Below are 13,418 nucleotides of genomic sequence, written 5' to 3' on the forward strand. Positions count from 1 at the left end.
TGCCCTGCTACTGTTTTGTATTTATTTGTAGAGAGAGGTTTTCACTATGCTGCCCAGGCTGATCTTGAACTCCTGAGCTCAAGTGATCCACCTGCCTTGGCCTCCCAAAGTGCTGGGATTACAGGCATGAGCCATGGGGCCTGGCCTAAATCTCTTTTAATCTATATATTCCCCTTTCATCTTTATTTAAATTGCAATTTATTTATTTAAGACACACGGAGTGTTTTTTTTTTTAGACTTGCCCACAGTCTGGTTTTGTTGATAACATCCCCATGGTATTATTTAACATGTTTCTCTGTCCTTTGCAGTTTCAGTAAATTAGCAGGTTAATCTAGAAAATTTGCTTTCAAGAGATGATCATGGAGTGTAGCCTCAGCACTCCCACTTGTTAGAAATGAAACTGACTAGACTTTACCCTAAACCTATTTAATCAGAAACTCTGGACTTGCAGTCCAGCAGTCTGATTTAACAAGCCTTTTGGGTTCTCCTAATCCCACTGATGTTTGCAAATGACTGACCTAGGTCTTTGGTCCATTTTAGGTTTGATTTGTTGGCAAGACTACTTCATAGTAATGGTGTATTCTTTTAAAAGGCATATAGTATCTGATTATCTTTTATTTTATAACCAGCCATGCTCAGCACTTAGATCCATGAGGGTATAGTAGAAATTGCAAAATGGAGATAGCGTATTGTCCCTTCTTCACTTATTACCTGAAACACAGAGTGTTACAGCTCTTATGGAATTTGTCTAGCAGGTTTTTTGGTCTTCACAGGAAACTTCCCCTTCCCCAACAAAACAAGAGAGAAATAGTCCTCATTTACTATTTAATAACCCAGTGTCCTTAAACAATCTTAAACATGCTGAGAAGTTTAAAGAATAGTACAATGAAAACCCATATACTAGAATTGGTTCATGGTTCTACCGGCTATATACAAAGCCTAGTGTCAGCAACTGCCTCTGGTGAGGGGCTCAGGAAGCTTACAATGCTGGCAGAAGGTGAAGAGAGCCAGCACATCACATGGCAGGAGCAGGAGAGACAGAGAGGGAGAGGGAGAGAGAGAGAGAGAGAGAGAGAGAGAGAGAGAGAGAAATATTTTCTTAAACAACCAGGTCTCACACAAACTCAGAGAACTTATTCATTATCATGAGAATGGCACTAAGGCATTAATGAGGGATTCGCACCTGTGATCCAACACCTCCCACTAGGCCCCGCCTCTAACATGGGAGATTATAGTTTAATATGAGATTTGGAGGGAACAAACATCCAACCCATATCACATTGCATATGGTTGTCATGTCTCTTTAGTTTCCTTTAATCTAGAATAGTTCCCTCTCCTGTTTATCTTTCATGGCATTAACATTTTTCAAGAGTTAGAGCAATATGTTTCAGAGAATGTTCCACAATCTGGATTTGATTGTTTTCTTGTGCTAATATTTAGGTTAAACATTTTTGGGAAAATACAATATAGATTATGTTATATACTTCCAATACCATCACATCAAGAGTCATATCATGACAATGTGTTCCATTACTGGGGATCCTATATTTGATCACTTGGTTAAAGTGATAACTGCTAGATTCTTCTATTGTGAAAAAAGAAAAGTTTATTTTATGAACCTGATTTTATGTAGTTTAATTAACACCATGTAAGGAAAAATTTGAAGTGACTTGTTACTATCATAAAATAGATTTAAAATCCAGTTATAATTTTCCAAATAGCATTATTCTACACAGAACCTACCTTATTCTATTTTTTCCAAGTCATCACAAAATTCACTCTGGAGATCTTTTCTTGGCAAAAATGCCTCAGCTGAAATTTTTGTTCTTGTTCGTTTTTGTCCATTAAATACATGCTTAATAATGTAAACATTTACAGTCTCTTTTTAAGAAACTTTGCAAGAAGATTAAATTATTTCAGGCTCTCAAGATGAAAGAGATAAAAGGAATTTTACCTATGTGCTCACAGAATATATATATATGTATGTGTGTGTGTGTGTGTATATATATATATATATATATACAGCAACTACTGATATATATATACACACACACACACACACACACACACACACACACACACATATATATAAGATTTTCAGCCTTTGGAGAAAATAACTTTACTCTCCTTGAATTCTCGGTATCAAAACCAGAATTCTTTCCTTCATTCTGTATATGTTTCAAGTAATTTTTGTTATGACTAGAAAGGAAGACTAGTTGCGTGTATATTGTTATAGTTGTACAGTGAAATGATTCTCATATTCTACTTGGAGTTTTGGAAAATATCTCTATTCATGTATTACTTTGATATTTGAGTGCCCTTCTTTGGCTACTTTATTAATCACATCATTTCAGATGTAATTTTGTTTTGATTTCCAATTCTGCCTTACTTTTTCCTTAGTTGTTTTTCCTTACTCGTCTTTCTCTTTTCAGTCCTTCCTTGAGTGCTCTGTGTGTGCACATGAGTGCACATGCTAGTGAAGAGAATGACTGCTTTCCAATTGAATTACCTTCCAGGAGTATTTAGAACTAATAATACATTCATATATGTGGTAACCTTAGTTTACAAATATTTCTGTTAATAATGATATGCTACAAGATATGAGACTGGTTTCTTACCATCCTTAATAATACAAACTAATTATTAGTCAATTAGGCTAATTAATTTTATAGGCTTAATGTAAGCAGAAATTATATGTATCACTAACCTCACCTCACCCTTTTGTGTCATGGACAGTCCTTGACTATAGCTGAGTGCCTTCAAGAACACTGGAGCCACATCTTCTAATTAGGAACCTTTTCTTCCCAGGTGCTTCTGATCTCTTGTCTCTCTGTTCCCTACCACTATACCACTCCATCCCGTGGTCTTTTGGGTTTTTTGCAAGTCTGTAGCCACACATTTGATATTACAAGCACAATTATTTTTTATTGAAGGATACCAGATCATTCCTTTCAAATAGAGTGTGTTATTTGGCTCACAGTTCTATTTTTCATGCCCCATCACACTTCGCTACACGGCAATGGGAAAGGAAATGTAGCAGGAAATGATTTGGGCCAAAACTACTGTGGGACAGCCATGAGAGGCCTGAGAAGCAGTTCTCTGGGAGGTAGGGCCAAGTGTCGAGTGTCAGTGTCTTGGCTGTCTGACAGGGCATGAAAGGGGATCCCAGGCTTAACCTGATTGGGGCTGGGGGGCTGTGAGACCTTGCTGATCTAGGAGCCTCAGCACCCTAGCGGGGATCTATCACCAGGCTGAAGGCAGGCGTGCACAGTCAGGCTTCTGATGCCCCTGAGACCATCTAATTCTCAGAAGCCACTCCCTCAGATCCCACAGAGTGGTTGGCCTGCCCTCCTCTAGCAACCCTTGTGGTGGTCTTGAGCTACGTATAACTCCAGAGTGTTTGCTCAGCTGCTGTGGGACTCCTTGCCCAAGAGACCTAGCCCTGTGAAAAAACTGTGTGACAGTTTGAACCAATAAAACATCTTGGTTCTCCATGGCAGAAAAGAAACTTGGATTCTATGAATGTGAATAGCATACCTTTTTCTTTTCTAGGCTGGTAAATATGCTACTGTATAAACTGACTTACTTTTCATCGCTCAAAGATGAATGCCGATCATCCAAATTATATCTTTAAAAGAGCCATAGATCTTTAAAAGTATTTCATTCTTAGCTGCCTTCAAACTTTTTAGAGAACTGTCTTTCATAATGCACTACAAAAATAAAAACAGTCACCACTGTCTCCTGGCTTACACCAACACATTGTTGTCTTTTTATGTTTTCTTTTTGGTCAAAGTCTCTACTTAACCAAAAAAAAGAAAAGTTTTTATTTTTGTTCAGAACAAAAATCCAGTGTCAACAAAAACAGAACACAAAAGAACACATTCCTTTATATTTTGAAGTTTGGTCACTGCTGCAGAAAGAACAGCCTGATATTGGTGTATCAACACAATGGCAAATAAGATGTTAAAAAACCTAGACCTTTATTATGAATCCTTGACATCTTTTATCGAACAGGAGAATCATACATACAGTACAAGGAAATCTTCAGATTCATTAATTCCCTCAATAGAACCTAAAAAAAATGAGAATTGTATTACATTTTATCAATAGCTTACCCACTACATATGACGGCATAAAAATAGTCACTATGCCATCATTTTTTGAAAAAGAGAGGCAAATGTATATGGCGAAGAGGTAAGAGGATTTATGGATCACATTTTAAACACAAAGTGATAAAATTATCAGCTTGTGGTCTATTTTTAAGCTCATAAGTGGAATTTAGGTTGTTACTAGGGAACAGATATTGAGCACAGGTGAGCCACCTTTACCTTGGGTTCCTAAATGGCCACCATGCAGCAGAGGTACCATCTGGCAACATGTATCTCAGGCTGGGACATGACCAAAAAGTCAATTTATTTGTTTCTTTAAGCCTGTAAGCTTTGGTTGTGGGAGATCCTCTTTGATGCAGCAGTTTAGCCTTACCCCGATGAACATATCTGTGTACATGTGCCTTCACTATGCAGGACACAAACTGATTGAATAATAACATTACAATCGCATCTTGCAACAGGCATATTTTATGTTTTTTAAGAGACAGTTTCATGGTGTTCCCGCTTTTGTATGTTGAAAGAATCTCAACTAGGAAGTAATTCCTCCACAAAAAAATGGAAATTTAGATCTTTGTTTCTCACATTGCAGATGATAGTCCTGATAAGGCTGAAGACTCAGCTCAGGCTAGATATACTGGGATCTATGATAGAAATGTGTTATCACAAAGAATAAGTGGCTTGAAGAATCATTCTAGGTGTCGCAAGATCCTGAAAGCGGAGGAAATAAAAGCAGTAATCAGAATGCACTGTGGAATATATTCTGTATAGTTCAGTAAAATTTATATTCTTCAGTTCTCTTTGGAGAATGAGTTTGGTCATTCTTTTTTTTTTTTTTTTTTTTTTTTTTTTTTTTTTTTTTTTACAGGGTCTCACTCTGTCACCCAGCCTGGTGTGCAGTGGCATGATCTCAGCTCACTGCAGCCTCAACCTTCCCTACTGAAGTGATCCTCTCACCTCAGCTTCCTGAGTAGTTGGGATCACAGGCACATGCCACTACACCCAGCTAATTTTTTTGTAGAATTTTTTGTAGAGATGGGGTTCTGCCCTATTGCTCAGGCTGGTCTCAAATTGCTGGGCTCAAGTGATCTGCCTGCCTCAGCCTCTCAAAGTGTTGGGATTACAGGTGTGAGCCACAGCACCTGGCTGGTCATTCTTCAAAAATCACTTTGTTGTCTTCATAAAGCTTATGTACTGCAAAAAATATATATTATACTTTTGGCTCCTAAATTATTCTATTATCATAAAGAGTCTAATGACAAGTGTAAGAAAAACAGCAGTATCTCTTAAGGATTTCCCTTTTAACCTGGTTTATTTTATATGAAGCATATTCCAGTGAATCTCAGAATCATTACTGTTTTAGGTGCAGAAAAGATGAGAAAATCTGGGGCACTACCTTCCCCACTTTTCAATTTATAGGTAAAGAACCTAAGGCAGAGAGAGAGGGGGCAATTTGCCCGAGTCTCCTAGTTCACCATCTGAACCTAGTTTCTCATCCATTTAGAGCACAGATGAGAAACACCTTAGTGTGTGTTACTGGGGCAGGATTTATGCACAGATAAAATAGGTAGCTGTCAATGTGGCACCATATGAAGTGTTCTTGGAAGAGCCAATATTCTCCTGCCATTTTGCCAGGAGGGCTGAAGTAGCTGCTCCTAATGAAAGACACACACACCACGTGGGAAGTATCACATTAAGTAGTAACCCGCTGATAACATGACCACATACACAAAGTTTTAAGGTTGGCTTTTTAATGCTGAGAAAGAATATAAGATAGGAGCCTGGGCACGGTGGCTCATGCCTGTAATCCCAGCACTTTGGGAGACCGAGGTGGGTGGATCATGAGGTCAGGAACTTGAGACCAGCCTGGCCAATATGGTGAAACCCCGTCTCTACTAAAAATACAAAAATTAGCTGGGTGTGGTGGCATGCACCTGTAGCCCCAGCTACGCGGGAGGCTGAGGCAGAAGAATCGCTTGAACCTGGGAGGTGGAGGTTGCAGTGAGCCGAGATCACACCACTGCACTCCAGCCTGGGTGACAGAGTGAGACTCTGTCTGAAAAAAAAAAAAAAAAAAAAAAAAAAAAAAAAGAATGTAAGATAGGAAAGATAAGCTGTGATGGTGAAGAGGCAATGGTAGCAAATGCTCAGTGTCTGCAGTAAGGATGAGAGAATCTTCAAAACTAATTATGTAAAATGTACAAGATTCTCTGAGGGCCTTGGGCCCCTGGAAATTGATACCCCCTCAAAATAGAGCAGCACTAATAAAAGGAGGTTTGAATGGCAGCAAATATGAAATATGTCACTTGTATAATTTTGCTTAGAAACAGGTTTTTATATAAACAAAAGACGATTAGAGTTGTGTAAATGTGCTTTCTGCACTTCTCATTGGACATAACATAAAGAGAAGGTGTGGAATTAACCATGGTTTATGGCACTAGTGAATCCAATTTATTCACTTTCATAAGACTTAAAAGTTCATGAATGTTTTCAAATAATTCTTTCAATAATCTTTGAGAAAAGTATTGTAATTGTAATTATAATTATTCATATTGCATTTATTCATTTATTTGTTAAACCAGCTAATATTTTTTGAACACCTTTCATGTGCCAGGCTAGAGATACCTGATGAACAAAAGAAACAGTAATCTCTGTCCTTGGAGACCACAGAGGTATGGGGACCTTCTTATATATAACTTTGGAGGATATTCAGCTACCTAGGACTCAAAAAATATCAGGGCATTTGAAAAAAGAGGTTGAGAGGAGACTTTCTTTTAGAAGACCACATGAAGTCTAGTTGGGAACATATATCATTCAAGTACATATCTGGAAAGTTTCATAGTTTGAGAAAGTGGATGTAGGAAATGCCAGCGAGACTGAGGTCTTGAATTCAATTCTGTCCAAACTAAGATTATTACCCTTGAAACAGATTTGTTGCAATATGGCTTAATTCATATGCCCATGCTAATAATCTGATCGCTCCCTATTTCTATTTTATTATTATTACCAAACTTATGTTACCATTCAGGAGCTAGTGTTACATTATAGGATCATTTGTAAAGCCAAACTGAAGGTTTTCAGACACAGGAGACCTAGGAATGTGAAAAGCCAACCCAAGTCTCCTGGAAGCAAGAAAAACCCACAACTGAGCTAAACTTTGCAAAAGCCAGCAAGCTGAGCAGGCATGTCATATCGGGGAGCAAGCCAAACACATTTCCCAGATCTGCAAAGAAACCAGTGATCATCCATCAGCAGAGAGAGAGAGTCTTTGGTTAAATGGGATGGCGAGCAAGCCATCAGAAGCTCCTCAGCCCAGCAAGATCTCAAACAAAAGAACAGCATCTCTAACTATACAGCCCAGCAAGATCTCAAACAAAGGAACAGCATCTCTAGCTATACAGCCTAAGTTCCTGTGTGACTTATTTACTGAATAAAATGCATTTCCTAGGGTAGTCCACTTTAATAATATAGTTTAACAACAGCAGGCTTCTGTTTTTGACCAAGGCTCAGTTATTCCTAGTCACTGAAATTAGATTTAACTGCAGCACCTGAGAGGCTCAAAGAATTAATAAGAATGCCTCAGTGACAGTTACAGATTGACAAGGGTCAGGTGGCCACACACAAACATTTAATCAAAGATTTTTGAAGAGTCTTTTGTCTTGCTTTCTTCTTCATTCTCCTCATTTGGTTCAAGAGTTGGTGCGTATATGTGTTAGTCTGTGTGTGTCTGTATGTGCGTGTGTGTCTGTGTGTGTGTGTGAGACAGAGAGAGAGAGAGAGAGAGACAGAGGCACATGTGCTATGAATACCTTTGTAGTCTTATGACATCTATTGAAATCTCAGAATAATCTAAGTTTGTTAAATAAAATATCATTACAAAGGTAACCAAATATGATGAAATATAGTTATCAAAATACTAAAATAAAAGCAAATCCATGATGATGGTGTTGTATGTGATTCTTCATTAGTATATTACACAACAAGATCTAGGGTAGATCTACAAATTGCCCATTTCAAAGTGATGATGAGCATAGAAGACATTTTGAGACACTGCAACACTGTAGTATAATATGAAAATATTTGTAATTTCTATGGGTGATATTTACAGGTATTCCCAATAGTACTGTGGTCTATGACTGATGTTCATAAATAAGGAGATGCTAAATTTCTATTAGAGGTTAGTAAAATAAAGATATAGTATTTATTTTCTATGTTTAAATATAGAGATGTATGAAGAGATATGTAAATTATGTTCTATAAATTCAAGTAAGACACTTTTTTTCCCATTCATATTCATAGAATCCTGAATTCTATTCCAGACTCCAGGTTTAGAACCATTGATTAATTAGCCAAGTCTTTTCTTTGTCTTAAACTAGAGTTTGCAAACTAGTAGAATGTGGGCCAAACTGGTCCTCAGAGGTGTTTGATAGGAGTTGCCAGTGTTAAAGTTTTCGATTATTTGTATATAAATAACCAGATTTGCAGCTCCTCTTGAAAAATGGAAATACGTAACAACACTGGGCTAAATATTACATGGCTAAAACTGGCTGGAGCTCAGTTGCAGCTTCCTCACGTATACAGGGCATGGGCCCTCCTCCTGCCCTAGGTCCCAGCTGGCTCACTTCACTCACAGATACCACCTCTGTGGCCATTTCAGATTTCTGTCCTCCAAAAATCGTAAGATAATAAATTTGTGTTTTTGGCCGGGCACAGTGGCTCATGCCTATAATCCCAGCATTTTTGTAGGCCGAGGCTGGTGGATCACGTGAGCCCAGGAGTTTAAGACTGGCCCAGGCAACAGCCTGAAATCCCATCTCTACAAAAAATACAAAAATTAGCTGAGCATGGTAGCACATACCTATGGTTACAGCTACTCAAGAGGCTGAGGTGGGAGCTTTGCCTGTGCCTGGGAGGCCGAGGCTGCAGTGAGCCATGATCATGCCACTGCACTCAAGCCTGGGCAACAGAACAACATTTAAAAAAAAAATTGTGCTGTTTTAAGGTGCTAAATTTTGGTAACTTGTTGCAGCAGCAGTTAGAGACTAATACAAGTACCAACTATGGCAGGCACTGTTATAGAAAGCATCTTGAAGTTATCTATTCAGGACGTTTTCCAACGTAAGACTATAAACTTCCTGTGGCCAAGTACTGTGTCTTATTCAGTTATAAATTCAGTACCTACAAGTGCCTAGTACAAAAGAAGAAATCAAAAAACACTTGTGGAATTCAACTGAATTCGTATTTATTTATTTATTTATTTATTTTTCTTGAGATGGAGTCTCACTCTGTTGCCTAGGCTGGAGTGCAGTGGTGCGATCTCAGCTCATTGCAGCCTCCGCCTCCTGGGTTCAAGCTATTCTCCTGCCTCAGCCTCCTGAGTACCTGGGATTACAGGCGCTTTTATACACCCAGCTAATTTTTGTATTTTTAGCAGAGACGGGGTTTCACTGTGTCAGTCAGGCTGGTTTCGAACTCCTGACCTCATGATCCACCCGCCTTGGCCTCCCAAAGTGCAGGGATTACAGGCATGAGCCACAGTGCCTGGCCTTGAATTAGTATTTCTTAAACCCTATGTCTCTTAGTCTGCATGATGATAGTGGTGGACAGTGATTTAACTCTGTTTTGTTCTTGGCTTTCTGGCAACATAACTGTGATCACAATCAGACAGTCTTAGAGATGGATGGAACCTCAAAATATGGAGTACTTTAAGGAGTTGCTTTGAACCTATTCTGATTGAGTGGGGGTTACCTAATAAATTTACAAACATTAAAAAACCCATGAAACTATTTCATGCAACAATTTGCTTTAGAAGTTACCTGCATTTTACTATTACTTTGGGATAGTCACTGTTCCATTTGTCAATCATTTTATTTGATAAAGAAATATTTCTTATCTAGAGCCAAAAATTTGCTTGTCATTTTTTTTCAAGCTCCTAGTTAAGCTAATTTAAACTTAGCTTAGTTGAGCTAAGCTAGAGCTACTAAGAATAAATCTTGCTTATAGATGATAGCTTTTGGATATGTGGAGGTAGCTATCAAGAAGACTCCCATTACCACCCCTACTCCTGCTCAAGTTTCTAAAAAATAGGGCCGGTGCGGTGGCTCACACTTGTAATCCCAGAACTTTGGGAGGCTGAGGTGGGTGGATCACCTGAGGTTAGGAGTTTGAGGCCAGCCTGTCCGACATGGTGAAATCCCGTCTCTACTAAAAATAGAAAAATTATCTGGGTGTGGTGGTGCATGCCTATAGTCCCAGCTACCTGGGAGGCTGAGTCAGGAGACTCGCTTAAATCTGGGAGGCAGAGGTTGCAGTGAGCCAAGATCGTGCCACTGCACTCCAGTCTGGGGTACAGAGTGAGACCCTGTCTCAAAAAAAAAAAAAAGTTTCTAAAAAATAACCTGGGCATATAATCCAAATATCTCTACCTATTTCTTATAGGAATCCCTTGGCATTATGGTCTCTTGATTAATAATCCTCTTAAGATGCATTGCCTAGCATGAAACACAGTTTCCAGATGTTATCTAAACAGCACAGAGAACAGGCTATGATTGCCCTTGATCAGCACATGACATTCTGTAACTTATATTAATTTTGTAGGAGAAGGGAACAGCCTATTAATTCATATTTAGCCTGTAGTGCTAACTTTTTAAAGACATGTTTTAATTTATATGTTAAATTGGGCTTTCCAAGTGCTATAGTTGTACCATTGATTATTTGAGTCCAAAAGCACAAAATTCACTTATCCCTTTTCAATATCATCATATTTGTATTTTGACTTTCAGCCTAATGAACTCATTTACAATTGTGATTTGGTCACATAAAGTATCAACAGTTTCCTCTCCATTAAACTCAACAAACATTTATTGAACAATTGCTAAGTGCCTAGCATTGCACTAAATGAATTGGGTCATTTGCACAACTAACAGCATATGTTGCTATCTAAGTGACTATAAATTTGAGGAACAGGAAAGGGTTAAAATTAGAACCCTTCCCACAATATGACAGCAATCCATTAATCAACACCTTGTGGATACTGTCAGATTTGAATCATGCTAACCATACAACCTTATCCAGTCCTCATTTCCTCACCTTGTTCCTTATCCTGAAACTTTGCCAAACACTTTGTTGAAATCCAGATGCTAGTATATAATATTGCTATTACTCAATATATGGCGTCATATGTTTTAACAAGGAAATGAGTGTAGATTTGGTACTTGTATGCCTCATAGCACCTAGACTTGAGCAATATATTAGATCAGAAGCATCCTTTCTCTTTCCCTATCTGCTTCTTAGAATCGTTTTCAAACAAATAGAATAATAGTAAATGAAGTCTGAAAATATCAGAAAATAAAATCCAATTTGACTGGGAAGTCCAGGTTTCCTTAGAAAGGGAGAGTCTGGGGTGGTGAAACTGGTAACAGAAATAAAATGGTTGCTAGAAAGCGATATCTAAGTGGTGTTTCTGGAAAAGGTAAGTGAAGAAGAGGCATTTATAGTTTAGGTTTGTAATTTTCCAAGCAATCCCAGAGGGTTTAAGCAGAGGGCAGGCAATGTGGAAGGCCTTGGATGGAGTTGTCTTAGCAACGAAGCCCTTTTCCTTCCTGACTCAGCCAGGCAGGGAAGTGAGAGCAGCTTTGAGGAATGTGCTGAACTTTGCAAGAAGTTGGTTTCCAGCTCTCAGGAAAGTTAAATTAAAATTTCCTCAATGTATGTGATATTCTTGTTCCTCAGGCTTATGGTTTAAAAAATTGGCTCAAGCAATGTTCTGACAAACAAGGGGTGGCGAGAGACTTTGACGATATAACCAGGCAGTTTGAACGTAGGTTCTTTCTCCAGCTCTTCAGAACAAGCCTTAGTTATACACTCGGCTAGGGGACCCCACCATGCTTTGGCCACCAACTGGTCACTTGGAATGTGGACTGGTCTTTCTGCCTTCAATCTGCCTACATATTACTCATCTCTTTTTCTTCCAGCTGCCAGAGGGATTTTTCTAAAGTGAAAGTCTGCTCTTTGTATAAAATGCTTGGGTGACTTCCGTTGTCTTTAGGATAAGAGCTAAACTTCATGTGGTATATGAGTCGTTAGAAGATGTGGCTCATACATCATTATGGTCACTCCTCTCTGTTAACCCTTCTGTACTGCAGCCCTTCACAACTACTGGCATTTCTTGATTCCATTAAATTCCCTGTTGCCCCCTTTACTTGCTGCTGTCTGTGCTTGGAATATCCTCCCTATACCTCCTTCTCTATGTGGCCTCCCTGTATCTTATCTTTTAGATCTCAAGGTCATCATCCACTTCTCCAAAACCCTTCCACAACCCCCTCTTTCTTTCCCACCATTGAGGGAATAGTAGCCACATATAATATTATTTTTGTTATAATGATGCTTTTAAAAGATAAAGCCCTTGTTTGAATGTGTGGAGTATTCCTCAGAATTCATAAATTATCTATCCATCATAACAATTATTACTAATGAAAAGCTAATTTAACATCCACAGTTAATTGGCTAAGTCAGATTTCTTCTGTGGTCAGATTGCAAGTTAATCAGAAGCACTCACATCTCCAGGAGCTCTGTGTTGATTCTTCCATTAAAATTGGGCTAGGACCTTGATCTTTCCACTTCCATCTTCTCCAGTCCCTGTCCCCCGATTCAAAATCCACTTAAATGGGTATTTTTCACAAGCTTTCCATGTTCCTTTCAGTCAGAACTAACTCTAATCATCAATGTTCACCTTAGCTTATCCATATTTTTATTTAGGAAAACTCAGCATGTTTTTGTTTCCTCGAATCTATCCACTAAAAAGAAGACTCCTTAAGGAAAGGGCTCAGCTTAGCACTTAGCATTGGCTTAAAGCATTTGACCCAGGTTAAACTGGATGAACAAAAATATCATTTATATTTATTCAGGAACCTTACAGAAGTCTACAAAATAGCTTGTTTTGGATGTTACAGCTTACACTAGCTATTGGCTAGAGTTGTGATCTGTAAGTATGGTGCACATAGACCAACTCCTTTTTTTTTCTTAAATAATGATGCTTTGCTTATTTGTCTCTATTATCATTCCTGCCACACCCAACTACTTTATGTACCTTAGTTCTACTCTGTTTTTCTTTTTTTTTTTTTTTTTTTTGAGACACTGTTACTCTGTCACCCAGGCTGGAGTGCAGTGGTGAGATATTGGCTCACTACAACCTCCGCCTCCTGGTTTCAAGTGATTCTCCTGCCTCAGCCTCCTGAATAGCTGGGACTACAGGCATATGTCACCACATCCGGCTAATTTTTGTATTTTTGGTAGACAGGGGATTTCACCATG

At 38.6% G+C, this 13,418-nt stretch overlaps 1 long non-coding RNA gene and 1 pseudogene across 1 annotated transcript in view; both read left to right on the forward strand.

Annotated features, from left to right (window-relative positions):
- The window catches only part of LOC105375410 (uncharacterized), an 86,586-nt gene that overhangs the window by 18,634 nt on the left and 54,534 nt on the right, over nucleotides 1-13,418 (forward strand). The window lies entirely within an intron of this gene.
- On the forward strand, nucleotides 722-785 carry RNU7-188P (RNA, U7 small nuclear 188 pseudogene; annotated as a pseudogene).

The sequence above is a fragment of the Homo sapiens genome, chromosome 7, assembly GCF_000001405.40.
Source record: "Homo sapiens chromosome 7, GRCh38.p14 Primary Assembly".
NCBI lineage: Eukaryota > Metazoa > Chordata > Mammalia > Primates > Hominidae > Homo > Homo sapiens.